This window comes from Homo sapiens, chromosome 11 (assembly GCF_000001405.40).
Source record: "Homo sapiens chromosome 11, GRCh38.p14 Primary Assembly".
In the NCBI taxonomy this organism is placed as follows: Eukaryota; Metazoa; Chordata; class Mammalia; order Primates; family Hominidae; genus Homo; species Homo sapiens.
The window spans coordinates 32,783,672-32,810,467 of record NC_000011.10 but is presented as its reverse complement, the minus strand read 5'-3'; the positions used below and the strand labels follow the sequence as shown (position 1 = coordinate 32,810,467).

General features: G+C 38.4%; 1 protein-coding gene across 4 annotated transcripts in view, besides 2 other annotated features; it reads left to right on the top strand.

Moving 5' to 3' along the window:
• CCDC73 (coiled-coil domain containing 73) overlaps positions 1-26,796 on the top strand; it is a 227,865-nt gene that overhangs the window by 20,118 nt on the left and 180,951 nt on the right. The window contains exons 3-6 of one of the 4 annotated variants that reach the window (XM_047427029.1): positions 5,454-5,510; positions 7,959-8,118; positions 15,742-15,855; positions 15,991-16,119. The gene's annotated coding sequence lies outside the window, so the exon portion shown is untranslated. Of the gene's footprint in view, positions 1-5,453; positions 5,511-7,958; positions 8,119-15,741; positions 16,120-26,796 lie in introns of those variants that run through there. The other 3 variants (NM_001008391.4, XM_047427030.1, XM_047427031.1) reach the window with 3 other exon arrangements.
• Positions 17,311-17,430: a silencer, noted in NCBI's record as "silent region_3225". NCBI's record gives its function as "represses an Ori minimal core promoter by ATAC-STARR-seq in GM12878 lymphoblastoid cells {active_cell/tissue: GM12878}" and the evidence as "EXISTENCE:reporter gene assay evidence [ECO:0000049][PMID:35858748]".
• Positions 17,441-17,490: a silencer, noted in NCBI's record as "silent region_3224". NCBI's record gives its function as "represses an Ori minimal core promoter by ATAC-STARR-seq in GM12878 lymphoblastoid cells {active_cell/tissue: GM12878}" and the evidence as "EXISTENCE:reporter gene assay evidence [ECO:0000049][PMID:35858748]".

Below are 26,796 nucleotides of genomic sequence, written 5' to 3'. Positions count from 1 at the left end.
AATCGTGTGACTTTGGGTAAATAATTTAGCCTAATTGAACCTCAGTTTCCTAAAAAGATGATTTCTAAAGCTTAGCTTTAAGTTCAGTTATTCCAATGAGTTAGAGAGTCTCTCAACCAAAAAGCAAGTAGTCATGTACATTTATCATTTTAATAAAGATATATTCTATTAATTTGGAAAAGCTGAAGACAGTATTAATTTTCCTCCCACAGTCTTAATGAAGAAATAAAGAAACTAATTTTCCATTACCATTCAAGGGGCAATCCACTCCTTCACAGATTGTGAAATTAATGTAACAGATCCAACCAACTGAACAATCTATGCATCTTTCTTCCCCTCTCCAATTCCAAGCCTTGGAACTGTATTTTACATTAAAAAGTTTAAAAGTTAACTAAAAATTAATGCAGTTTTAAGACTGCAGCTTACATATAATATAATGAAGTTAGAGCAAAATATCTGCAGTGTCCAGTATCTTTGAGTAAGTAACATTTATTATTACCTATGTCTGAAGCACAGCAGATGTTGTGATCTTTACTAATTATAATTTCCCTAATTAAAATAACTTGTACCTACGATGCATGCTTTTCCTAAGTTATTCAGGATGGTAAGCAGATATTAAATCATTTATCTTTACAACATATCAATGAAGCTAGTAGGAGCAAGTATTGTTCTCATTATTTAAAGGAGAAGATTAAAAGTCAAGGATTAGGTCATGATCACACAGTAATTTTTTTGTCATGAACATTAAGACGAGAACCAAAGAAATGTATATATTCCTCCCCCATCCACCTTCCTTCCTATTTAGGGGCAATTCTCTGTTGTGTTTAACTCTTGTGGGATGCAGGGTCTGCCTTCCACTACTGAAACCAAAGAGCGGGGATGTTTCTTTTCCCTGGCTTGTTGCAGCAAGGGTAAGGGCACATTATCTAGGCTCCAGGATCTGGAAACTCCAACTCAGGGATTGACACAGATGCAGAAAGAATTTAGGAATTACTTGTAATGCTCAAGACAGCAAGTCTACAGTCCAGTCCTGTGTGTGACCCCTCTCCGCCCCCTAGCGTCCTAACCAGACTCTTCCTCTATTATTGTCTAGGTTGTGTCTCTTGCTACTTAGGCTCCTTTAGCTTCTGCCATTTTCTGGATCTACTCCTCCATGCTTCTTATTTTGTGAGCTCACAATATCCTTCCAATAAATTCTCTTCTGCTTATGTTAGCCAGAGCTGATTTCAGTTGCTTGCACACAAGAACACAGGTTCCCTTAACCTTACTTCTGTTGAAGGCATCATATTTTATCCCTAAATTGTCCTGGATGCTTATGATGTTTAAGTTTTGCATTACATTTAAACGTTTCTCTACCATATTAGTTGAAGTTTAGCTGCAAAATCATAATGAGCTTGTAAATATGGCCTTTAGGAGAATGTCAAACACATATTTTTTACTGGGCCTAATTAATAAGGTTAAAATGGAATTCTATCTATTATATGCTGCAAGAAAAAGCAAGATACAGGACAGTATGTATAGAATGATTTTAATTTTATAGACCTATATGTGAATAGAAAAAAGTACTGGCAGAATAGATAATGAAAATATTAATAGGAATAATGTCTGAGTAGTAGGATTATAAATTAGAGTTCTGTGTGCTTTATTTGGCATTAAACAATTAACATATATTATTTCATAATTATGGAAAACCATAATAATTTAAAAGTTTGTTTCTTAGATAAACTTACGAAGGTAGAAAAATATTTCTTATCTTATAAAAGCAGGAAGAATAGTATTCATCACTTGGCTTCAACAATTATCAATTTATGGCCTTTTTTTTTTTCTTTGAGACGGAGTCTCGCTATGTCTCCTAGGCTGGAGTGCAGTGGCACAATCTCAGCTCACTGCAACCTCTGCCTCCCAGGTTCGAGCGATTCTCCTGCCTTAGCCTCCTGAATAGCTGGGACTACAGGCACATGCCACCACGCCTGGCTAATTTTTGTATTTTTAGTAAAGACTGGGTTTCACCATGTTGGCCAGACTGGTCTCAAACTCCTGACCTCAAGTTATCTGCCCACCTCGGCCTCCCAAAGTTTTGGGATTACAGGTGTGAGCCACCGCGCCCAGCCCACATGGCCTGTCTTGTTTTATCTGATGTGTTCCTTACTCCCCACTCATGCTAAATTATCAGCATAGAAAGACTTTTTTTCTTATAATTGGTTATTCCTTCTTTTCCGTATGTTATTTTCCCTTTTAGGAATTCTTATTCAATGACTTTTTCTCCCACACATCTATTCCTTATTCTGATATTTTTTTTCCTTTATCCTTTCTTTAATTTGGTTAAATTTCTGAGTTTGCCTCCTGATCTACTAATTCTGCTTCCAACTTTGTTGTACACATGCTTTTAATTTTGGGAATCATGTTTTAAATACAATCTTTTCTGTTCTCAAATTGTTTCATTTTTATAAATGTTTATTTTGTTCTCATAAATGCAATTTATTCTTGGATCTTATGGAGAAAAAGAATCAGAAAATTTTCTAAACTTTTCTCTAAACATGCTTTTCTAGTGAATTTATTTTAGAGGGAGCCATTCTTCTGATTATGCTCGGTCAGGGTGGGCAAACTAAAGTTGCCTGTTTTTGTACTAAGTTTTATTGTAATACAGCCACATCCATTCATTTACATAGTACCTGTGGCTACTTTTGCACAATTCAGGCTACAGTAGTTGCTTTCTTGCTACAGTGCAGGACAGAGTTGTGACAGAGGATGTATGGCAGGGGTGTCCAATCTTTTGGCTTCCCTGGGTCACACTGGAACAAGAAGAATTATCTTGGACCATACATAAAACACACTAACACTAACAATAGCTGCTGAGCTAAAAAAAAAAAGTTGCCAAAAAAAAATCCCATAATGTCATAAGAAAGTTTATGAATTTGTGTTGGGCTGCATTCAAAGCTGTCCTGGGCCACATGCAGCCCACAAGCCATGGGTTGGACAAACTTTATGTATGGCATGCAAAACCTAAATATTTACTATCTGGCCCTTTCTAGAAAATATTTGTTGGCCTCATTTCTAGGTAGCTCTTACTCTTGAATTTCAGAATGTTTTCCATGGGTCTAGAGATTTTCCTTTATTTCCTTTCATTATCAGCAGGGGTTAGTGGTGCAGGCCGAAAGAGTGAGGGTCGTGATCAATTCAGTATACCACTGGAAGCTATACGAGTAAACAGCAAATTGTTTTCATAAATGCAGGATGTTGGCAAACTGACAAACTGCGTCCACTGCCCAGAAGGAATGCTGAGGGCAGTCACACCCAAAGTGCAGTGCTTCTTGTGATTAGGCATATTTGAAGCCTGTTAGCAATAATGTGAACCTGTGATCAATCAAACAGCTGACCAATCGTTACCTCCTCCTCCCTGCTCTTTCTACCCAATAAATAGGAAGGGCTGTAGAAGCTCAGGGTGGCTGCTCTTGCTCACTAGAAGCAGGGAGCCCTCTTCTTCTTCCCTGGACCCCTTCTTAAAAACAGATTATTTTGTCTTAAGTTTTCATTTCTGCATTCGTCTTCCTTCACTCAGACCCATAGTAGCAGTGGCAAACCGCGGCAGGTTAGTACCAGAATCAAACAGATGCTTTTTCAAATTCTGTCTGCCTGGGGCCCATGTCAGACCTATCAGATCAGAATTCTTAACTGTGCCGGCCTTTTTGCTCACATAATCCTGAGTAAGAATTTTCTAACCATTTTGCCTTTAAGGCCAGCTCTGTGATTTGGACCTGGGGAGGCTAACCACCTGAAAGAAGTCTATTTGGAAGACTTTTCTCTCGTTTCTTTCTTTCTTTCTTTTTTTTTTTTTTTGAGACAGGTCTTGCTCTGTCACCCAGGCTGCCAGGCTAGAGTGCAGTGGCATGATCTCAGCTCATTGCAACCTCCGCCTCCTGGGTTCAAGCAATCCTCCCGCCTCAGCCTCCCGAGTAGCTGGGACTACAAGTGTGCACCACCTCGCCTGGCTAATTTTTATATTTTATGTAGAGATGGGGTTTCACCGTGTTGCCCAGGCTGGTCTTGAACTCCTGGGCTCAAGGGATCCCCCCACCCGCCTCAGCCTCCCAAAGTGCGGGATGATAGGGGTGAGCTACCATGCCTGGGCAGTGACTAGCTTTTTTCTCCATGATTTTTCCTGTGTCTCCTTTGTGTCAACACCAATCAACAGGAATCTAAGTGTTATTTTAAGAGGTTTGGCTTTCACAAAAATAGCTACATTCAATAATGGAAATAAACTTGGATTTTTAACCTCCTTTAACTAGTTTTCTGCTTACAGCAAAGATTATACACATATTAGTCAGGAAGTTCACATAGGGCAATGTGAGTTAAACCCATTATTATCTTGGGTCAAATTAGTTTACTACTTCATAACAAGAAAAGAGGACTTTCCAAAAATGAGTCTTAGATCCTGCAAAGGCCACAAAATGAACCACAGATTTGGAATTAGCTATAGCTTGTTTAACTTTGGGAAAAGTATTTGAAATCTTTGGGCTTTAATTATTGGCATTGTAGTTTGAATTGAGAATTTTATTTCCTTCTTGCTCTAAAATTCTTTAATGCTATACTTGAGTATAGGCCTGTGACTGGTCAGCTCCAGTTGAGTCTCCACAGAGAAGCACTTGGTGGCTCAGAGGGCTAGTCAGGAGCAGGGGGGAAAGGCATAAAGATGTGGAAATTAACTGAAAAATAATACCATAGCTTTTCCCAAGACTGGTCTAGGTCTCTCTTGCTATGTCTTGTGGAATTTTTAACTGACTTCATATGGATGTTTCAAGCCGCATTTGGCCAAAATATCAATTTGTATGGTAGATAAATCTGATCTGAAGGATTTTCTTCAGAAAATTACCTCAAGTTGGCTTTGTGTTTTATATTTTTGTTTAACTTAGACCCACATTTTGGATATAGTTTCTTACACTTGACTTGACTCACTGAACTCTATGAATAAAGGGGCCCAGCAAGCATTTTAGTATATTTTATAGCAGTATAAGTTTTAAGAGCTCTTTCATCCTTTTCCTACTTATGTGGAATGCTTATTAATGTCACAGGGATTTACTATGATTGAAATAAAGGGAGTCTGTGACCTTGGAAAGTTTGTAAGCAGTCTTTAGGTGCATAAATGGTATAACTTGTTTATGAACATCAAATAAAAGTTCAAATAGCATTAACATGAAAAGCAGAAAATAAGATGTGGAAGATATGTCTATATCATTAACTGAAGAGAATTGAAAGAGAAATTAAATTAATTATCTGGGTAACTGCCTCATTTTTTCACTCTTAAGGCTGGGACACTATTGTTAGAAACTCACTCTACTCAGCCTGAGTAATGGAAGAGCCTTCTTTGAGATACAAGGTTCTGTATGTTCGAATTAGTGTATCAATGATTGCAGAGATAGAACTACTTTCTGATGACTTTTTTCTGTTCTCTTAAGGTGGTTTGTCTCTGTATCCACTCCTTTATTCTGCAGTTTGAGTCAGGGAAAGAACAGGTAAGTGTTTAATCTATATTCTGAACTAATTTTGAAGGAAGAAGCAGGTGAAGGTTGGGCAGAGGATGAACATTCACTACATACTTTGGCATTAGTGGAGTCTCTTTTTAATGTAAATACTCAATGAAGAATATTCCTACTTTGAATCAAAAGCATCCAAACAGGGCTTAAGTAAACCTTTGTTTTGAGGTTATAGACTAAATCTTTTTTGTTTGTTTGTTTTTACATTAGAGACTATCATAAAACAAATGGACTAAATCTTTAACCACAGTATGAAAATAAGAAGAAGGAAGAGAATATGGAAGGCTCAGGGCAACCTATTCACTATTTCTGGGAAAATACTTGTCTTATTGCACAAAGGAATAGTTCAGTATTTGAAACCATAGGCAAAAGGTAGGGTCAGTTGGCTATTAACGTGAAAACTGAGCTAATTCAAATCTCCTGGCCACCTCTAGTGTTTTAAGCACTCACTTCTAGTTTGTAAAGAAAACTCCTGACTATGAAAAGTTACTAGAAATTATATCTTTGGCTGGCACCAGTGGCTCACACCTGTAAACCCAGCACTGTTGGAGGCTAAGGCAGGCAGATCACCTGAACCCAGGAGTTCGAGACCTGCTTGGGTGAAACCCTGTATCTACTAGAAATACAAAAATTAGCGGAGCGTTGTGGTGTGCGCCTGTAGTCCCAGCTACTCGGGAGGCTGAGGCAGGATAATCACTTGATCTTGGGAGGCAGATGTTGCAGTGAGCTGTGGTTGTGTCACTGCACTCCAGCCTGGGCAACAGAGTGAGATATTGTCTCAAAAAAAACGAAATGATGTTTTCAATTTGACAAGAATACCAGGTTTAGGTTGGGTGTGGTGGCTCAAGCCTGTAATCCCAGTATTTTGGGAGGCCGAGGTGGGTGGATCACTTGAGGTCGGGAGTTCGAGACTAGCCTGGTCAACATGGTGAAACCCTGTCTCTACTAAAAATAAAAAAAAAATTAGGTAGGTGCTGTGGCATACACCTGTAGTCTCAGCTATTCAGGAGGTTAAGGCAGAAGAATCGCTTGAACCTGGGATGGGGAGGTTGCAGTGAGCTGAGATTGTGCCACTGCACTCCAGCCTGGTGACAGAGCGAGACTCTGTCTCAAAAACAAACAAACAAACAAACAAAACACCAGGTTTAATAAATTACCCACAAAATGATTACATACTGCACTTTTAGATCATAATTTAGTTAAAGATATCCAGACATGATTAGCAGTCTAATCTTCAAATATAAAGAAAAATCTATAGCATTATGTCACATTATACTATCTAGGATAATTGATTAATGCATACTATTTCAGGCATGGCAATATAGGATAGCTGCCATTTCATGGCACTATACAAAGTTCAAGATCTAGTCAAGCTAAAGGTATAAAAATTCAATTTTATATGTTCCCTTATGGAATTGACTAAATAATTGAATCCTATGAACTAAATTGATAAGTGATTTGTTAATATTTACTAAAAGGTGCATGCTGTTTAGTACATTAGTCTATTAGTGAAGACAAACTAGTATCAAAAATTATGGTAAATACTGGCCAGGTGTGGTGGCGCACGCCTGTAATCCCAGCACTTTGGGAGGCCAAGGCAAGTGGATCACCTGAGGTCAGAAGTTTGAAAAGACCCTGGCCAACATGGTGAAGCCCCGTGTCTACTAAAAATACAAAAATTAGCCAGATGTGGTGGCGCACATCTGTAATCCCAGCTATTCAGGAGGCTGAGGCAGAATCGCTTGAACCTGGGAGGAAGAGGTTGCAGTGAGCCGAGATCACGCCACTGCACTCCAGCCTGGATGACAGAGCAAGACTCCATCTCAAAACAAAATAAAACAAACACAAACAAACAAACCTTATGGTAAATACGATGGCTCAGGCCTGTAATCCCAGCACTTTGGGAGACCCAGGCTGGCAGATCACTTGAAGCCAGAAATTTGAGACCAGCCTGGCTATCATGGTGAAACTCTGTCTCTACTAAAAATCCAAAAAAGAAAAAAAAAAAAAAGAAAAATTAGCTGGGCATGGTGGTGCACACCTGTGGTCTCAGCTACGTGGGAGGCTGAGGCATGAGAATTGCTTGAACCTGGGAGGCAGAGGCTGCAGTGAGCTGAGATCATGCCACTGCACTCCAGCCTGGGCAACAGAGCAAGACTCTGTCTCAAAAAAATTATGGTAAATAGTTTCAGAAAACAGGGATAATCTGAAGCTGTGATAGCCAGGTACAAGAGGTTCTCCTCCATAGCAGTAGTTATTAGTGAGTGGTTCACACACTTTAGTGTAATAATCACCAGGAATTGCTTGTTAGAACAATCTTTATGATGTAGGATGAGTTTCTGTTAGGAAGAATTCTGTATACAGTATATGTAAGCTCATCAATTGCTTGTTGATGCTTGTAACTTGCTTTTATATTTTGGTATACAGCTTTTTCCTTGATCATCTATCACTTTACAGAAGTGTACAATCTTAGCAAAATGGTGTCATGTCATATTAACCAATATTCTCACAATTGGTGATACTAATGAAGACTCTGAGGGATGAGAAGATGATGACAACATTTTTGATTCACTAAGATTAAATTATGGTTGGTGTGTTTTTATATTTTAAGAACATTTTCCTGTGTTTTTTGGTCATGCCTTCATGATATTAGTAACTTTTTATAAATAAAACTTTGAATTAATTAGACATTTCATATAGTAATAATACCAGAAAAAAAGAGAACGAGAGAACTATAAATGTTAGTGCAGCAGGCAGTCATCTATGAAGTATGATATTTGGAAGGACCTAACTGATAGAAAATATCTTTTTTATAGGCTGTTACTGTGACTGAAATTTGGCTATCAGAGATATTGATTTGCATATGATTAACAGATATTGAGTTTTCACTGTGTATCTAGTGCTTTATATTCATTGTCTCAACTGACTCTCATAATAATCCAATAAAATATGTAATGTTTTATCTCTGATTTAAAGATGAATAATTTAAGGTCCTCTTCTCTATGTTCTCTTCCTGGGTGATCTAACCGAGTTCCATGGATTACACACATTATGCTATTCACTTCCAAATTTGTATTTCCAGCTGAGACCCTTCTTTAAGCTTCAGACTCAACATTTCCAGTTGCCCTTTTGACTTTTCCATGTGGATGTCTCATAGATACATTAAACTTGACATCTGCAAAAATAGAACCACCGATTTTTGTAGCAGATGCTATTGATTGCCTACTTAACTCCATTTTCTCCTTCTTTGTTATTGGCAGAGTTATAATTTTGTTAGTGTTTGTTTTTTTTTTTTTGAGATGGAGTCTCACTCTGTTGCCCAGGCTGGAGTGCAGTGGTGCGATTGCCGCTCACCACAACCTCTGCCTCCCAGGTTCAAGCGATTCTCCTGCCTCAGCCTCCCAAGTAGCTGGGACTACAGGTGTGTGCCACCACGCCGGGCTAATTTCTGTATTTTTAGTAGAGACGGGGTTTCACTATGTTGGCCAGGCTGGTCTTGAACTCCTCACCTCATGATCTGCCCGCCTTGGCCTCCCAAAATGCTGGGATTACAGGCGTGAGCCACTGCGCCCAGCCAGTTAGGATTTCTGTACCCCTACCCACCATGTGGATTGGGGAAGATGGCTCTGTCTCCAGCTCTAGGAGTAACTCTTGATTTATATAAGCCAGCCATGGATATCCCATTCCTTTGTCAGTGATTGGTTTAAGATAGGCATGTGAATGAGTTTGAGCCGATGAGATATGAGCAGATGTCTGCCAGAAAGTTTCTGGAAAGATTTTTCTCCCTTTAAGTAGTCACTAGACTACCCAGCCTTCTTCCTTTTTATGTTGTTGTATATAAATGTGATGCTCAGAACTAAAAGCAATCTCGCTGCCTATATGAGGATGGAGCCAACACTGGAGGAGGGCAAAACAAAGAGACTAAGGAATAGAGCAAGTGATTTCACAAATCACATCAGGAATCCTCCATCTCTTGACTTCCTATTATCTGAGACAATAACTTTATTGACAACTCAATTTAAGTTGAATATTTCTGTTATTTGCAGCCGAGGCATCCTGATAACAATTTTTTTGCCCCTAAAGTGTTGACTTTCCTCCTCCATTTTATTAAATGGTTATACTATCTACTCAGGTGCTTAAGCAGGAACCCTAAGACTCATTACTTCACTCTTCTTCTCCTACTTCGTCCTAAATCCTTGACTAGGCCTGCAACTTGGAGGAGAGGAATAAGAGAGAGGGAAAGAGAAGTATACTATTACTCTGAAGTTTCCATCTTAATTAACTGAAAGGATGGTGCCATCATTAACATAAGTAAAGGGGTCCAGAAGAGGTGTTAGTTGAGGGGGCCAAAAAAGATAAATTTTATACATATGTTGAGTTTGTTTTATTGCTTTTCATTAAATTTTGAATTAAAAGCTCAAAAGAAAACCTATTCTATTAGGAAAAAAGCAAAAGTCTTATTAAGAGTATGCCTAATCTCAATTTTATAATAAGAATAACTTTTAAAAATATATAGATGAAGTCTCACTGTGTTGCCCAGGCTGAAGTGCAGTGGCTTGATCATAGTCCACTGCAACCTTGAATTCAAGAATAATGTTTGACTTTTTCTCCCATGTACATTATATCTAAAATAAGGTTAAATAAAATAAATAAATAAATAAATAATAAGTTCACATAAAACCTCTCCCATGGTGTATGTAGTACATCTTCTAGATAATTATTTGTAGTTGATTAATCCATCATACTAATATTGACACTTAAAATTCAATAGCTAATTGACATGTTACTATATTATATACAAAGTAAAAAGCTAGAGTGAAAATTCAATACATACAGCAAATTTTAGAAAGATTTCAACTACAGTTTGTGGTGCTATCAATTATTACATGAAAATTTTAATATGCAACTCTGACTATAAATATTTATCCATTAATATTTATTAAATGTATGTTATGTGCCAAGCACTGCGCTGAGGTTACAGATACAAAGATGAATATGATACATTCTCTGCCCACAAGCATGGAAAGAAATAACTATAATGAAATGTGGTAAGTGCTGTAACTATAACAAAGTTATAAGCACTTGTTTTTACTATAGCATTTAAGTAGGCTGCAGAAACCTATTCATTTACTTCGTGCATATAAGTTATTCTTTGATGTAGATATTATCTCCTGTTATTCTCCTAGGGAGTCACTGTGCTTATTCACAACCAATTCTAACCAGCTCTAGGTCTAATAGTGTAGGATATGAAAACTGATTACAGAGAACCTAGTTTGGGAGACATGTAAATATGCTTACTCCCTTTACTACATCAAGTAAAAATGACATACTTTCATTCTGACAATTATGGTTAGGACTGGATTAAGACAGTCTGAGGCTTTAATCTATGTTAAGTGTAAAAATAATTCCAAATTGTAATAAAGATTCACATTCTATTCATTAAAAAAAACCCACAGGCTGGGCATGGTGGTTTATGCTCAGGAGTTCGAGACCAGGCTGGGAAATATGATAAAACCCTGTCTATACAAATAAATACAAAAAATGGGGCCAGGCATGGTGGCTCATGCCTGTAATCCCAGCACTTTGGGAGGGTGAGGTGGGCAGATCAGTTGAGGTCGGGAGTTCGAGACTAGCCTGGCCAACATAGTGAAACCCCATTTCTACTAAAAATACAAAAATTAACTGAGCGTGGTGGCGCAGGCCTGTAATCCCAGCTACTCAGGAAGCTGAGGCAGGAGAATCACTTGAACCTGGGAGGTGGAGGTTGCAGTGAGCTGAGATTGTGCCACTGTATTCCAGCCTGGGTGACAGAGTGAAACTCTGTCTCAAAAAAAAAAAAAAAAAATGAAAAGAAAAAAAATTAGCCAAGTGTGGTGGTGCACTCCTGTGGTCTTAGCTACTTGTGGGGCTGAGGAGGGAGGATCGCTTGAGACCAGGAGGTAAGGCTGCAGTGAGCCAAGATTGCACCACTGCACTCCAGCCTGGGTGACAAAATGAGACTCTGTCTCAACGCCCCCCCCCAAAACAAACAAACAAACAAAAACGCAAAAACCAAACAAAAACCCACAGACTTTGTAGTGAAAAAAAAGTGTTTAATTTGCATATATGTAAAGTTACATTAGATTAACTAAGAGGGGAAAATGGGGACAGAAAAAAGGGAAACAAGAGAGCATGTGGTAGAAAGAGGAAGAACTTCCCATTACCTGTGCTTGGAGTTAGATGCCTGATTAGCCACTGAAAATATCTTTGCTTACTCATTCATGAATTCATTTAACCAATTTATACATACTGAGTTCCTAAAAATTGTAATGACAATAATAACGAATAATAAGATGGGGCACAGTGGTTCACGCCTGTAATCCCAGCACTTTGGGAGGCCAAGGCAGGAGGATCACTTGAGCCCAGGAGTTTGAGACTAGCCTGAGCAACACAGGGAGACCCCTGTCTCTACAAACAAACAAAATAGCTGGGCATGGTGGCGTGCGCCTGTGGTCCCAGCTACTCAGAAGGCTGAGGTGGGGATCACTGGGGCCCAGAACCCCTGGGGCCCAGGAGGTTGAGGTTGCAGTTAGTGGTGATTGTGCCACTGCACTCCAGCCTGCGTAGTGAGCGAGACCTCGTCTAAAATACTAATACAACAGCTCATACTTTTTGAATGCTTACTATCGGCCAAGCACAGTGCTATGCACTTTGTGCACCTTATCTGTCATATTTGTATCTTAGAGGTAGGTACTACAGGTTGGGTGTCCTTTCTCCAAAATGCTTTGGTGTTTCAGATTTCAGGGTTTTCGGATTTTGAAATATTTGCACATACACAACAGGATATGTTGGGTTAGAGACCCAAATCTAAACACAAAATTCATTTATGTTTCCTATGCACCTTATGCATATAGCCTGATGGTGATTTTATACAATATTTTTAATAACTTTGTGCATGAAACAAAGTTTTGACGGCAGTCTGTCATGTGAAGTCCAGTGTGGCATTTTCCACTTGTAGCATCACGTTGGTGCTCAAAAAGTTTCAGATTTTGGAACATTTAGGATTGCAGATTTTTGGATTAGGGATGATCATACTGTATCATTACTCCCATTTTACCAATGTGGATTTTGAGGCACAGAGAGGTCAAATGCCTTGCCCAATGTCCTGAGCTAGTAAATGGCAGAGTCAGGATTTGCACCAAGCCATTTGCTCTTAAGCACTGTGCTGTGTGCCATCTACTGTGCTAGCCATTGGGGATTTAAAAGTAAATATGACAAAGTCCCTGTCCTCAAAAAGTTCACAGTCTATTAGGAGAGAGAAAGTGTATACAGACAATTGCAAGGGCCTATGATAAATACTACAATAAAGATATGTAGAGTCGAGTGATTGCACCAAGCAGGGAATGATTAGTTCTACTTAGATGGGAGTGGAGAGTTGATGAAATTTCAAAGAGGGGACCTGTGAACTGGAATTTAAAGGATGAGAAAGTGTTTTTAGATAGGCCTAGAGACAGTAAAGAGCATCCAGGTAGAGGAAGCAGCATGTACAAAGAAAGGCAAAGTGAACTGCTGGTTGTGGCAGAGTCAGGATATGCCAGGCAAGTGGAGGAAGATGTACAGAGTTCTAAACTTGTTTTTTGTTTTTTGAGACAAGGTCTCTCTCTGTCACCCTGGCTGGAGTGCAGTAGTGCAATCATAGCTCACTGCAGTCTCAAACTCCTGGGCTCAAGTGATCCTTCTGCCTCAGCCTCCAAAGCAACTGGGACTATAGATGTGTGCCACCATTCCTGGCTCATAGATGCAGTTTCTAACTGCTGATAGAAACAGTTAGGTTTCTTTAAATGTTCACATGTATCATGACTTGAAAGTGATATCCCCAAAGTGAAAATAATGGTTAAGTCCTTTAACTTTTTAAGTTGTTACTTTTTTTTTTTTTTTTTTTTTTTTTGAGGCAGTCTCAGTCTGTCACCCAGGCTGGAGTGGAGTGGTGTGATCTCGGCTCACTGCAACCTCTGCCTCCTGGGTTCAAGCGATTCTTACGCCTCAGCGTCCGGAGCAGCTGGGATTACACAGGCACCTGCCACCATGCCCGGCTCATTTTTGTATTTTTTGTAGAGACGGGGTTTCTCTATGTTGGCCAGGCTGGTCTCAAATTCCCAACCTCAAGTGGTCCACTCACCTTGGCCTCCCAAAGTATTGGGATTACAGGCATGAGCCACCACAGCTGGCCGAAAAACCCCTTTATAAGGGCATCACATCCTATTCTCCCCTCATGACTCAATCGTCTCCTAAAGGCCACACCTCATAACACACTTGCTTTGGAGATTAAGTTTCAACATGAATCGTGGACAGGACAAAAACATTCAAACCATAGCACTGATCATTGGGGAAATTGCATGGGGTTAGGAGGGCATTCAGAGGTGATTACATTCAACTCATTAGCCTCTCTACACCTTAGTTTTCTAATAGGCAAAAAGTGCATAGTAATAGGATTGTTGTGGAGACTAAGATGAGATGATGTATGTAAAAACACTTAGCTCATTGTCTGGCACATAGTAAATTATCGTAAATATTAGTTATTATTAGAGTATAGCTGTTATGGTTGGTAAATACCAAATTGAAAGGTCATAGTCCATTTATTCATTCATATGAATTTATTTGGCATTTACATGCCAGGCATTGTGCTAGATTCTGGTAAGCAAGTGAACAAAATTCATCTCTGTTTTCACGAAGCTTGTGTCCTAGGATACAGTTAATAAATATACCAGACGAGATGGTGATTGTGCTACAGAGAATAAAACAAGGTGGGGTCAAAGTAGGGGATGTGCATGGGTGTTACTATGGGGTAGTTAGGAATGCTTTCCCTAAAAAGGTGACATCTGGGCAAACGCTTGGAGAAAGGGAAGGAGTAAAAAGAATTCCAGACAGATTTTTACTGGAAAACGTGGTTAAAAATTTGAGGGCGGGGGGCCGGCTGCGGTGGCTCATGCCTGTAATCCCAGTACTTTGGGAGGCCAAGGCGGGCAGATCACCTGAGGTCAGGAGTTCAAGACCAGCCTGGCCAACATGGTGAAACCCCGTCTCTACTAAAAATACAAAAATTAGCCAGGTGTGGTGGCAGGCGCCTGTAATCCCAGCTACTCGGGAGGCTGAGGCAGGAGAATCGCTTGAACCCGGGAGGCGGAGGTTGCAGTGAGCTGAGATCGTGCCATTGCACTCCAGCCTGGGGGACAAGAATGAGACTTTTTCTCAAAAAAAAAAAAAAAATTTGAGGGCAGGAACCACTTCTTTTACATTTTGGTAGCATGCAAAAACAATGTAGGCCTGAAACATATTACATTCTTATTGAATGACTATTCAACATAACATACTGAAACATAGCATTAGTTAGGTGCTTAAAATAGGTGTGATTATCAGTATAATTAGAACTGCAGTTTTTTTTCTATTTCACTTTAAAAATTAAGCAACTTTTCTTTTCTTTTTTTTTTTGACAGGGTTTTGCTCCATTGCCTAGGCTGGAGTGCAGTGGTGCAGTCTTGGGTCACTGCAGCCTTGACCTCCCAGGCTCAATCTATCCTCTTGCCTCAGCCTCCCAAGTAGCTGGGATTACAGCCGCACGCCACCATGCCCGGCTGATTTTTGTATTTTTGGGTAGAGACGGGGGTCTCACCATGTTGCCTAGGCTGGTATCGAACTCCTGACCTGAAGCAATCCTCCCACCTCAGCCTCCCAAATTGTTGGGGTTACAGGCATGAGCCAGTGAACCCTCACACCCGGCTAACATTTATTTTTTGAATTAGTAACACATTCACATGAAGCAAACATCAAAAAGTATAAAAAGCTATTCAGTGAAGTCTCCCTCTCTCTCCCGTTCCCATCCACACACTTCCCATTGCTCCCCACAGGTAATACTTACTCATTTTTCTTTCATCTTTCCAAAGACTTTTTTTTTAAAAAACGAATATATCGGGAGGCTGAGGCAGGAGAATGGCATAAACCTGGGAGGTGGAGCTTGCAGTGAGCCGAGATCGCGCCACTCCACTCCAGCCTGGGCGACAGAGCGAGACTCCGTCTCAAAAAAAAAACCAAAAACAAACCGAAAACAAACAAAAACAAAAAAGAATATATAAGCCAATACATGTTGTACTTAAGGAAAAACATCAAATATCCAGGTATCTTTTCCGAAGCTTGTATTTAAAAAGAAAATAAAATCAATCATATTTTGCCCCAGATGCTCAAGATTACCCACGTATCTTAGGCTAATGACCTTCAAGCCGGAAGTGCCCTAGGGCGGGAAAAGGTGAACCGGAAGGGCCAACAGGAGCTAGAGGCGCGCTTCGCTGAGGTAAGTCGGAGCAGTCACAAGCGTGTAGTTGGGCTGTTTAGGAAGCAGCCCTAATCTTTTCATGCAGGGTCCACTTACGGGTTTGCCCTGCACCTCCAGCTGCGTAACCTACCCTTCCTTGCTCTGGTTGCCAAGGGGCTGCTTTGGCCTGGAGCCTCCTGACTGCTGGGCTGTGTCTAGAATCTTCCACGCTCCCGACCCAGGAGAAGCAGCCACACTGAGGCATCCATCTGGATCTCTGCTTGGGCAGGATTGAGACTGCGGGTGAGTCATGAGGGTCTCGTCTGTTCATCGTGGAGAAGCGCCTTCTGTACATGTGCCTTGCGTGGTGGTGGTTTTTGTTTTAAACCTCATATTTGCCTTATGAATGCAATGCAATCATGTCGATTGTTCTTCTGAAAATTTTCAAACAACTCTGACCGCTCAGAGTTAGCAACATTTGGAACTGTTATTGGTGAATCTCGACTTTTTCTTTGGTGAACGTTACTTTTTGCAGAATGTTTTAAGTATAGTGCGAAAGTTCTAGCGCAGTTGCAGAAGTGTGTAAATTCCCAGGGACATTTCTCTATTTTTTCTTCATTCTGCTGGTGATTTTGTTTCTCCCAAACTGCCTTGCACGAGCAAATTTAAATGGAATCTCACTGGGAATGAAATGACTGCCCTGCTAATCCTGATAATGCTGAATTCTAGATATAAATTATTTGGTCGGGGCGGTGGCTCACATCTGTAGTCCCAGCACTTTGGGAGGCCGAGGCGGGCGGATCACCTGAGGTCAGGAGTTTGAGACCAGCCTGGTCAACATGGTGAAACCCCGTCTCTACTAAAAATACAAAAATTAGCCGGGCGTGGTGGCGGGCACCTGTAGTCCCAGCTACTCAGGAGGCTGAGGCAGGAGAATTGCTTGAACCCGGGAGGCGGAGGTTGCAGTGAGCCTAGATCACTCCACTGCACTCCAGCCTGGGCAACAGAGCGAGACTCTGTCTAAAAAAATAAAATAAAATAAAATAAATTATTCATGTCATTGCTGCAATCTTCCACTTCACTTTGCTGCTGAAAATAAGTGACAACCCTTAAGTCATTTATGGGAACCTTTATGATCAGTGCACTTCTTTTAGAAAGAAAATGTGAAGATTCCACGGAGTCTTCTGCTTATATTGAGATCCTCGAATTGATGATTATTGGTTATTTTGCTTTAGTTGTGATAAATTCCTATGGCTCTCTTTGTTTTATACCTTGAAGAAAAAATCTATACTGAAATATCCCAACCTGAGAATCAGCAAATACGCTGTGGATGGAGTTTCCTCTGTAGTCCTTCACTGGTGTCTTCTCTCAGCCATTTCTTCGGCCAATTTGAGTCTTTACAACTCTCCCTGGTTTCAGGGTTGCCTTGGGGGTAGTTGTTAAGTTTTGGAAAATTAGATTCCCCACTTTGATGATTTATAAAGTGTGTTAATGCAGCTTGAGAAAACGTTTTAATTTCCATACGGCTTCATATCGTAGTGTCAGGAAGGAAGCGAATGACAGATTTTTAAATTCCGAGTGTCCACCAGGCGGCAGCATAGGGTTTTTAGTTTCTTTCGCTCTGGCCGTGTATCCCGTAATAACTGTACAGGTGCGGTGATAGTGTTATTCTAATAGTAATAGATATCATATGTGGAATGCTTATTACACGCCAGGGGCTGGAAGTTATCTCATTTAATCCTAAAAAAACAAACCCCAAACCCTGTACCGTAGGTATTCCCAGTATTCTCCTTACACTTCATGGGAAAACCATGGGAAAGAGATTAAATAACAATGCAAGGCTGATTACACAGCCGACAAGTGGTGGAGCTAGAATTGAAACCCAGATGCTTAACCACTACTTCATGCTAACCAAATTAAAGTTATTGCAAGTTTGATCAAATTGTGAAGGATGCTATAGTTAAGATGAGAAATCTGACTGAGTTTTCTGAAGGAGGTGAAAATTGGGCACTGTTATTTATATAGTGTACCTCAAGACAGTTGGAGGTACACCGTTTCCAAAAGACAGTATTTCCTAAATTGTGTTCCAGGGAGCACTAGTCCTGTGAGATGCTTCAATAAAAAAAGGTTTCTGTGGCCAAAAATACTCTTGGAATTCATTTAAGGACTCTAAAATGTCCTGCAGTGAAGGAACTTGTTTAACCTAACTTTTTTTGAACTCACAGCATTCTTAAACTTCTCTGATTACAGCCGACATTAGTCAATGCTTAGCTTTACCATATGAGTAAATACTTACACATGAGTCAATACTTACCTTTACCATAAGCAGTGTACACTTATGTTTTTTATTTTATTTTTTACTAGTCTAGCCTTTCATTAAAAAAAAAATTCTGGTCAAGACCCATTACATTGATTTTTTGACTCATGAATGAGTCACAGTCTACAGTTTTACTGCACTAGACCGTGGGGTCCTATTTTTTTGTGCTGTGCTTATTAATGGAACACACTTTGGGAAATTGTGTTAGAGCTATAGTTGAAAGAAGTCATCGATTCAATGGTAAATGTCTTTGTTGATGGATTATGTTCTTTTATCAGTCCTGGTAACAGTTGAATGAGAACAGTGGTGGGGATTGTGTGTGTGTGTGTGTGTGTGTGTGTGTATGTGTGTGTGTGTGGTTTTTTTTTTTGAGACAGGGTCTGGCTCTGTTGCCCAGGCTGTAGTACAGTGGCGTGATCTTGGCTCACTGCAGCCTCCACCTCCTGGGCTCAAGTGATCCCTCACCTCAGCCTCCTGAATAGTTGGGACTACAGGAGCACACTACCGCAACTGGATACTTTTTGATTTTGTTTTTTGGTAGAGATGGGGTTTCACCATGTTGCTGAGTCTGGTCTTGAGGTCTTGAGCTCCTGAGCTCGAGCAATTGCACTGCCTCGGCCTCCCAAAGTCCTGGGATTGCAGGCATTAGCCACCACGCCTGGCTGAGAACAGTGTTTTTTTAATTGGGAAATTATTCTTTACAATCAGTTTAGGCCACTAGTGAAGGAAGAACATATAACAATTTTGTAGATTAGAATTTTCCAAAGTATGTTCTTTGGAATACATGTTCCCCAGAATATTAGCTTGTCTTATGAATTATGAAAAAAAGTGTTTCAAGATCAAGGTAAACTTGGGAAATACGGATTAAAGTTAAACAGGCTCCAACAAAGCTAATGGGACTGCTTATCTCTGAAATGGGGAGTTAGTGTATGGGATTTCCCAGATTTATTTGACTGTGGAACCTGTTTTTAGAAATGTATCTTGTGGGCCTTGTGCCCCTTAGAACATACTTTGGGAAATAATCATGTAGATAATTAAGGCAGAAATGTTTTTGTTGTAATGTACATTTAGGTGAAAATTTTTATTGTAAATTATTGATGTCATTTTCCTAATTCGTTTATTTGCTAATATTGACATGACAGAGAAACACATCAGGAAGTCATTCAGCTTTCTTAATTTCCTGATGACCCATGGAAATTTTCTGTTAGTAACAAGAAAAACCTGTATGAGATTTTCTGGCACTGATTAATTTCATATAAAACTAAAACTTATTTTCAGTTAAGTTCAATGAGCAGTACATTTCTAGCTGTGTTGGATTCAACTTTATTAAGCTATTTTGGCAATTCTTGTTTCATATTTGAAAAAAATTGGAGTTTAGTTTAGTTAAAAGTTGTGTTTTATAAAATCCTTAAAGGATTTTGCTACATTTTATTTATAAGGTGGCTCAAATTAGTGTTTATGTACCTGTTCCAAAGGTCTCTGGTATGTTGCCTTAGATTGGTTGAATTTATAGTACATTTAGTAGCTTATTTTATGTTATAGTTTCATAATGATCTTTACGGAGATAATATCTAATTCTCTCAATCTCTTCACACATATACAGTTCATGTTTTAACTATTTTTAAATTTCTAAAATTTATATATATAATCCTCCCTCTGTTTCTTAAAACAAGGAGAAATTTGGTAAAGATTTTAGTATGAACAGAGAATGTTTTACTCATAATAGTGTAAATATTTTAAGAAACTAAAAGTGGTTTTTGTAATTTTATATAATTTATAGCAATTTAATAAAATGTTTATCAAGTATTCACTATGCTCTCAAGGCTTTTCCTCACTTGGAGGTTAATAAGCCTTCTTCAAACATGAAACAGTTAATGAAAAAATAACATTATTTATGGGCAGTATTATAAATGGATAAATAAAGTGCAAAATTATGTGGAATAGACAATAACAGAATGGGGCAATATACAGAATAAAGTGCTAACCATATGATCTGACAATAAGTATAGTTCGGAAAAGGAGAAATTGGTGTGAATGGGATTTGTAAGAAAATCTTCAGAGGAGATGGAATTTGATCTGATTTTAAAATATGTTTAAACAGAGAATATATGGCAAGGCATTTGGTATAATAGAGCAGAATATGTGATGGTATTAGTTTAGCCTCCTTAACATAACATAAAAGACCCCCTAAGACTTGCCTGCTTCTCAAGCCTCATCTCATCTTCTCTCAGCCTTACCTGTTAGACTTCAATCTCCCTACACTACTTTTAGTTCCTCATTTAAAATGATGTTTCTTCCATCTCTGCCTTTACTTATGCTGTTTTTCCCTCTAAAATACCCTTATCTAATTTTTCATTTTACTAATGTCTTGTCTTTTAAGATTTTAAATCTTAGCCCAGAAGTCACCTTCCTCAGGCTGACTGACCTTCCCAAGCCACCCCTGATTTTCTCATGCTGGGTGTCCATCTTCACACATGATCACATTGTATTATAATTATTTTGTATATCCGTATCTCTCTACTAGAGTTCCTTGAGAAGAAGGTGTCGTATTTATTTTTTGTTGAGACAGGGTCTCATTCTGTCACACAGGCTGGAGTGTAGTGGCACGATCATAGCTAGCTGTAGCCTTGACTTCCCTGGCTCAAGTGATCCTCCCACCTCAGCCTCCTGAGTAGCTGAGACTACAGGTGTGCACCACCACACCCAGCGAATTTTTTTGTTTTTTTGTAGAGATGTGGGTCTCACTATGTTGTCTAGGCTAATCTTGAACTCTTGGCCTCAAGCGATCCTCCTGCCTTAGCCTCCCAAAGTGCTGGGATTACAGGACTGAGCCAACAACCCCAGCCTGGGTGTCTGTATTTTTAAAAAAATCACTACGTTTTGAATATAGAAGAGACTCAATAAATGTTTGTTAAATGAACGAATACATTTTTCTTTGTTTCCTTTATTTGCTTACATTAATATTGGATTTAGGTTTCTTCTTCTGGTATTTTGAAGTTTATTTAACAAGGTCAGGTTTACACTTGATTTTATAACTGATCTCTTTGGAAACTCAGTGATTTTTGTACTGTGGCCCTTTCACCTTATCCTTCACTGTAGTCGCTAAGAATGAGAGGAGTATTATTCCCTTTTTTTCCCCCTAAGGCTAAGCATTTAATCTTTATGTTTCTAAAAATCCTTCTCCATTAACTGTTTTTGGAATTATAAGTAGCCTAAAATCTCATCTCCATAGGTTAATTAGATCAGAATTTGACAGCTAGAATTGCACTAGATACTATCTTATCTAATTTGCTGTTGAAATTATAACTATTTTTGCAATGGGATAGTATGTTTAAAAGTTAACAATATAAAAATTAAACTTAGTTTAGCATTCTTATTTTAGAGATAAAGTGAATGAGGCTTGGGCACCATGACTTTGAACTCTTTGAACACTTATAGCACCCTTTTTTGTTTATCTACCATGTCTTTTGTATTATGCCTGGTGTTACTATGCCTTGAGTTAAACTAATTTGTATAAGTGCTTTGTCCATTTTTCTAGATTGTAAATACCTGGAGATTAAGATTAACTCGGCCAAGCACAGTAGCTCATGCCTGTAATCCCAGCACTTTGGGAGGCTGAGGTGGGAGGACCGCTTGAGCCCAGACTAGCCTGGGCAACATAGTGAGACCCCATCCCTACAAAAAATACAAAAATTAGCTGGGTGTTGTGGCATGTGCCTGCAGTCCCAGCTACTTGGGAGGCTGAGGTGGGAGGATCTCATGAGCTCCGGAGGTCGGGGCTGCAGTGAGCTGTGATCACACCACTGCACTCCAGCCTTCATGACAGAGCAAGACCCTGTCTCAAAAAAAAAAAAAAAAGATTTGTACCATCAAATTTGTATCATCTGTAGTTCCTTAAACAGAAAGATTTATTGAATTACATCATTGTTATTCTTTATTGTCTGTATATGAGAAGTCTAATTAATTTTTAAAAATCAGTATATGGATACTCTTCCTTTATTGCTCTTCTCTAGTCTTTCCAGCTTTGTGATATCCTTCTAAAAGTTTATCTATCACAGTTATAGGAAACACTCTGATTGTACATGCTGCCTTCTTTGATTCATGGTTTTCAAGTATCCTTCTCTTGCCTTTTCCAAAGGATATGAGTGATCTATTCAATTCAGTATAATCAATGCAACAAAAATTAATTTAGTGCCTGCCTTTTGTAAATTATTATATCTGGCAGTATGAGAATACAAAAGTGTGGAAGACTTCGCCATTGGTCAAGGAATTTGCAGTATAACGGATAAGGCAACTTTTGCTACTACAAGATAGAATCTGATGAGTGTAAGTGTAATCAGTTCCAGCTTGGCACTTGTGCTATATGGGACATAAAAGATCTTTCAGTTCTTTACTTTTGGGGGGCATACCTTAGGAAATGTAATAGTTATAATTTTATTAGATTATAAAAGGTCCTGATGGAGTTAAGGATGTTCTCAATGAATCTTGTAGCAATCCCAGATCATATAATTCATGTTTATATGTTTTTAGATCATATTTTGATTGTTCTGTATCTTTTTTACTCTACACATGCACCAGCTTGTGTATAATTAATGGGTATAATTTTTCACACAAAGATTCACTTTTTGTGACAAATGCCATCCATATTTTACATTTACATACTAAATTAATAATTATGTATGAAGGAGACAGGCTTATAGGACTAATTTGCCATTCTTTTCAAGTTATGAGAGTATTCACAAGAATAAAAGACAATATGATGAAACCAACTTATGTGATATTTAAGAAAAAAGCAACTTGAAACTTATGGTTCTTTACCAAATAATTTTTTTGGGAAAAATGTTTTTGTTACTGAAAAATCGAAAATTTTTTATAGTTGTAAATATAAAAAAGACAATTGTGTTTATATTCTTTGAATGTTTTAGCTAATGTCAAAGCCTACTGGTTGTTATTATGTGAAATGATAGTGTGAAACTGATGCTGTTATAGTATAACAATAAGGACGTGGCTCATGTATTTTATGTACACATGCATTCAACTGTAGTGACAAATGGCTTCATGCTGTGTGATTAAATGCATATTAGCGTTTGCCCTAGGCATTTGGTTATTACCATCTTTACTTCATTACATTACCACACTGTATGGCCATATAATTTATAAGATAATACACATCACTTTGTTGCTGATAGGAATTATTCTGTTTTATGGATGGTGTCCTTTAATTTTGCCTTTCATGGATTATAAAATTGGTTAATATCTGCTGAAGTGAATCACTGGAGAAGCAAATAAAGATGTTGGCCTCAGGTCAAAGTGTCATTTGTGATACTGGCAAAATCTTACAGGCTCATTTATCCCTGTACATGATTGATAACAGCATGGGTTAAATGGAGAAAGCTTTGCTTCCATTAAAGGATCATCATGAATGAAGACCTCCCACTTAAAAGTCAGGCATGATGAGAAGACAAGAGACTATCTACAGGTCAAATTAAATAACTTAAATAATTTAAGTAGAATGACAGTGTAATTTGTCCATTCTGTGTTATTACTCTGACCCCTATCAGGATTATAGGCTAACTTACTTTCCACTGTAGAGTATTTAAGATGTAATTTTTAATAAATACTTCCAAAGACATAAAAGCCTTTATATCTCTTAAACTGTGAAAAATATAGATTTTTATTATGTACTTTTGAAAAAAAGCTTTTAAAAAAGCTTGTAATACTTATATAAAATAAATAATATGATGAATGCTGAAATGATGCTTTAAGCATTTTATAATATTATATTGGCCTTATTTTAAAATATATTTTAATAATGAAATATTTATTAATAACAAGTATGTTATAAATATAAATAATATATTTATTATATATTATAATTATATAAATAATATATTTATTATATATTATAATTATATAAATAATATATTTATTATATATTATAATTATATAAATAATATATTTATTATATATTATAATTATATAATAAATACTTGAGTATTATAAATAACAGATTTATTGTTATAAATTACTATAAATAAATGAACTACTTACAAAAGTTCATTAGTAACTATTTTATGCCAAATGTTAAAAATAAAGATTCAGTAAGCATTTCTTAATGGCAACCCTTCTATATGGAATCACTGTTGGAGTTTATTCAAATTGTGTTTCAGGATAGGGGAAGGCGTATGCATTTTTAGATATTTCTGTAATAAAAGCAGTACTGAAGTGTAAGAATATTTTGATCTGTTAAAAGTAAAATATAGATGAAGCTTCAAATTAAATATTACATGTCTTTTTAAAATTACAAAAACAGCATGTTTTATACATATAAGCATTTACATTTCTTCTTCACTGGTTTCTGAACCCTTATGTAAAACCAGGTCTTTACATATGTTACCTTAATTTAATCATCACATCCTGTGAAATAAGTATTATTATCCCTGGTATTAATAGATGAGGAAACTGAAACCTCCTCTGTGTGAGAAGTCACACAGCTAGTAAGAGGAGAGAATTTTAATCCATATCTGTTGTGGATTCTGTTATAGGAAGCTACAAAAATGCATATTTCTTTTTCAAAAGCACATAACAAAAATCTGTACTTTACCACAAAACTTCAAAACTGGTGCACTTCTGCCAGGCATGGTGGCTCATGCCTGTAATCCTAGCACTTTGGAGGCCGAGGCAGGAGGATTGCTTGAGCCTAGGAGTTCAAGACCAGCCTGGGTAACATAGTGATAGCCTGTCTGTCTCTAAAAAAAATAAAAAATTCACTGGGTATGGTGACACATGCCTACAGTCCCAGCTACTTGGGAGGCTGAGGTGGCAGGGTCACTTGAGCCCTGGAGGTCAAGGCTTCAGTGAGCTGTGATCACGCCACTGCATTCCAGCCTGGGTGACAGAGTGAGATCCTGTGTCAAAAAAACAAAAACAAAAAATAAAAGAAAAACTGGTGCATTTCTCACCTTGTCAAGCTGTCTGTAACAGCATCGTAAAACTTTTTTTGACAGTGAGCCACTGTAAGAAATACATTTCACATTGTAATCTGGTATACTTATATGTATTTACATTTACATAAAATTAAAACAAGAGTTTTATAAAACTTACCATATGTGAGGAGATTGCTGGTCTATTCTAGTTTAATCTACACTGTTCTGTTCTTTTTTTTTCCTGAGATGGAGTCTTGCTTTTTTGCCCAGGCTGGAGTATAGTAGCGCTGTCTCAGCTCACTGCAACCTCTACCTCCCGGGTTCAAGTGATTCTCCTGCCTCAGCCTCCCAAGTAGCTGGGATTACAGGCGCCCACCACCACGCCTGTCTAATTTTTAGTAGAGATGGGGTTTCACCGTGTTGGCCAGGCTGGTCTCGAACTCCTGACCTCAAATGATCCGCCTGCCTTGGCATCCCAAAGTGCTGGGATTACAGGCATGAGCCACCGTGCCCAGCCTGTTCTGTTCTATCATTATAAGAAACTAAACTGATTTCATATATCTTAGTCTAAGGGTTCTGTACCAACTTAAAACATATACAATAAAATTTACTCCTCCATTATATGTTATTTACACTGCTTATAGAAAAGGAGAATGAAGAGGACAAAATCATTTATACTTTTCTTAAAATAAAGTTTGTTCAGAAAAAGATCTCTCCTGCCATTTCTTCCTTTTCAGAGCAATTACTTCAAGCTATTTTAGCTGATACTTTAGACATTTACTTCCATATCTTTAAATAGTATGTTTGTAAATGATACTTCTTGATTTTCCAGTTTTACCCATTATCTAATGCCTTCCCATGATGGAAACTAAGGATTTAACTTTCTTTTGTCTTTTGCTCTAACTTCTCCTTCTTCACATCCTCCATAAACGGTTGTAGCATACTTTTTATTATATCAGCAGAGTAATAACATAATCATAAATGTGGTTCACAGCTGAACTATTGTAATATTCTGTGATTATTTTTCCTTACCACCTTGGATTGTCTTATTTTTCCCCATTGCTTTCTTTTTTTTTTTTGAGACGGACTTTCACTCTTGTTGCTTAGGCTGGAGTGCAGTGGCGCGATCTTGGCTCACCAAAACTCTGCCTCCCAGGTTCAAGCGATTCTCCTGCCTCAGCCTCTTGAGTAGCTGGGATTACAGGCATGCACCACGACGCCCGGCTAATTTTGTATCTTTTAGTAGAGACGGGGTTTCTCCATGTTGGTCAGGCTGGTCTTGAACTCCCGACCTTAGGTGATCTGCCCACCTTGGCCTCCCAAAGTGCTGAGATTATAGGCGTGGGCCACTGTGGCTGGCCTGCTTTCTTTTTAATGTATTAATTACTAATTCAACCCCAGACTTCTCTCAGTTACCTAAAACTTTTATGAGTAACTTAAAAACAGTTGATAATCTATTAATACCATTGTGTTGAGGAAGTTGCTGCCAGAGCCTATTAAACCACTTTAATCTGGACTGGTTGCTCTCTGTCTTCGTACAGGTGTCCTCTTGCTGTCCTCCACCGTGCTAGGGTTCCTTTCCTCTCTTTCTTGCCTATGCAAGATTGCTATAGAATAAATATTTGTGTCTCCCCCAAATTCATACGTTGAAACCTAATCCCCAGTGTGGTAGTATTTGGTGGGGCCTTTGGGAGGTGATTAGGTCATGAAGGCAGAGTCCTCTTGAATGGGATTAGC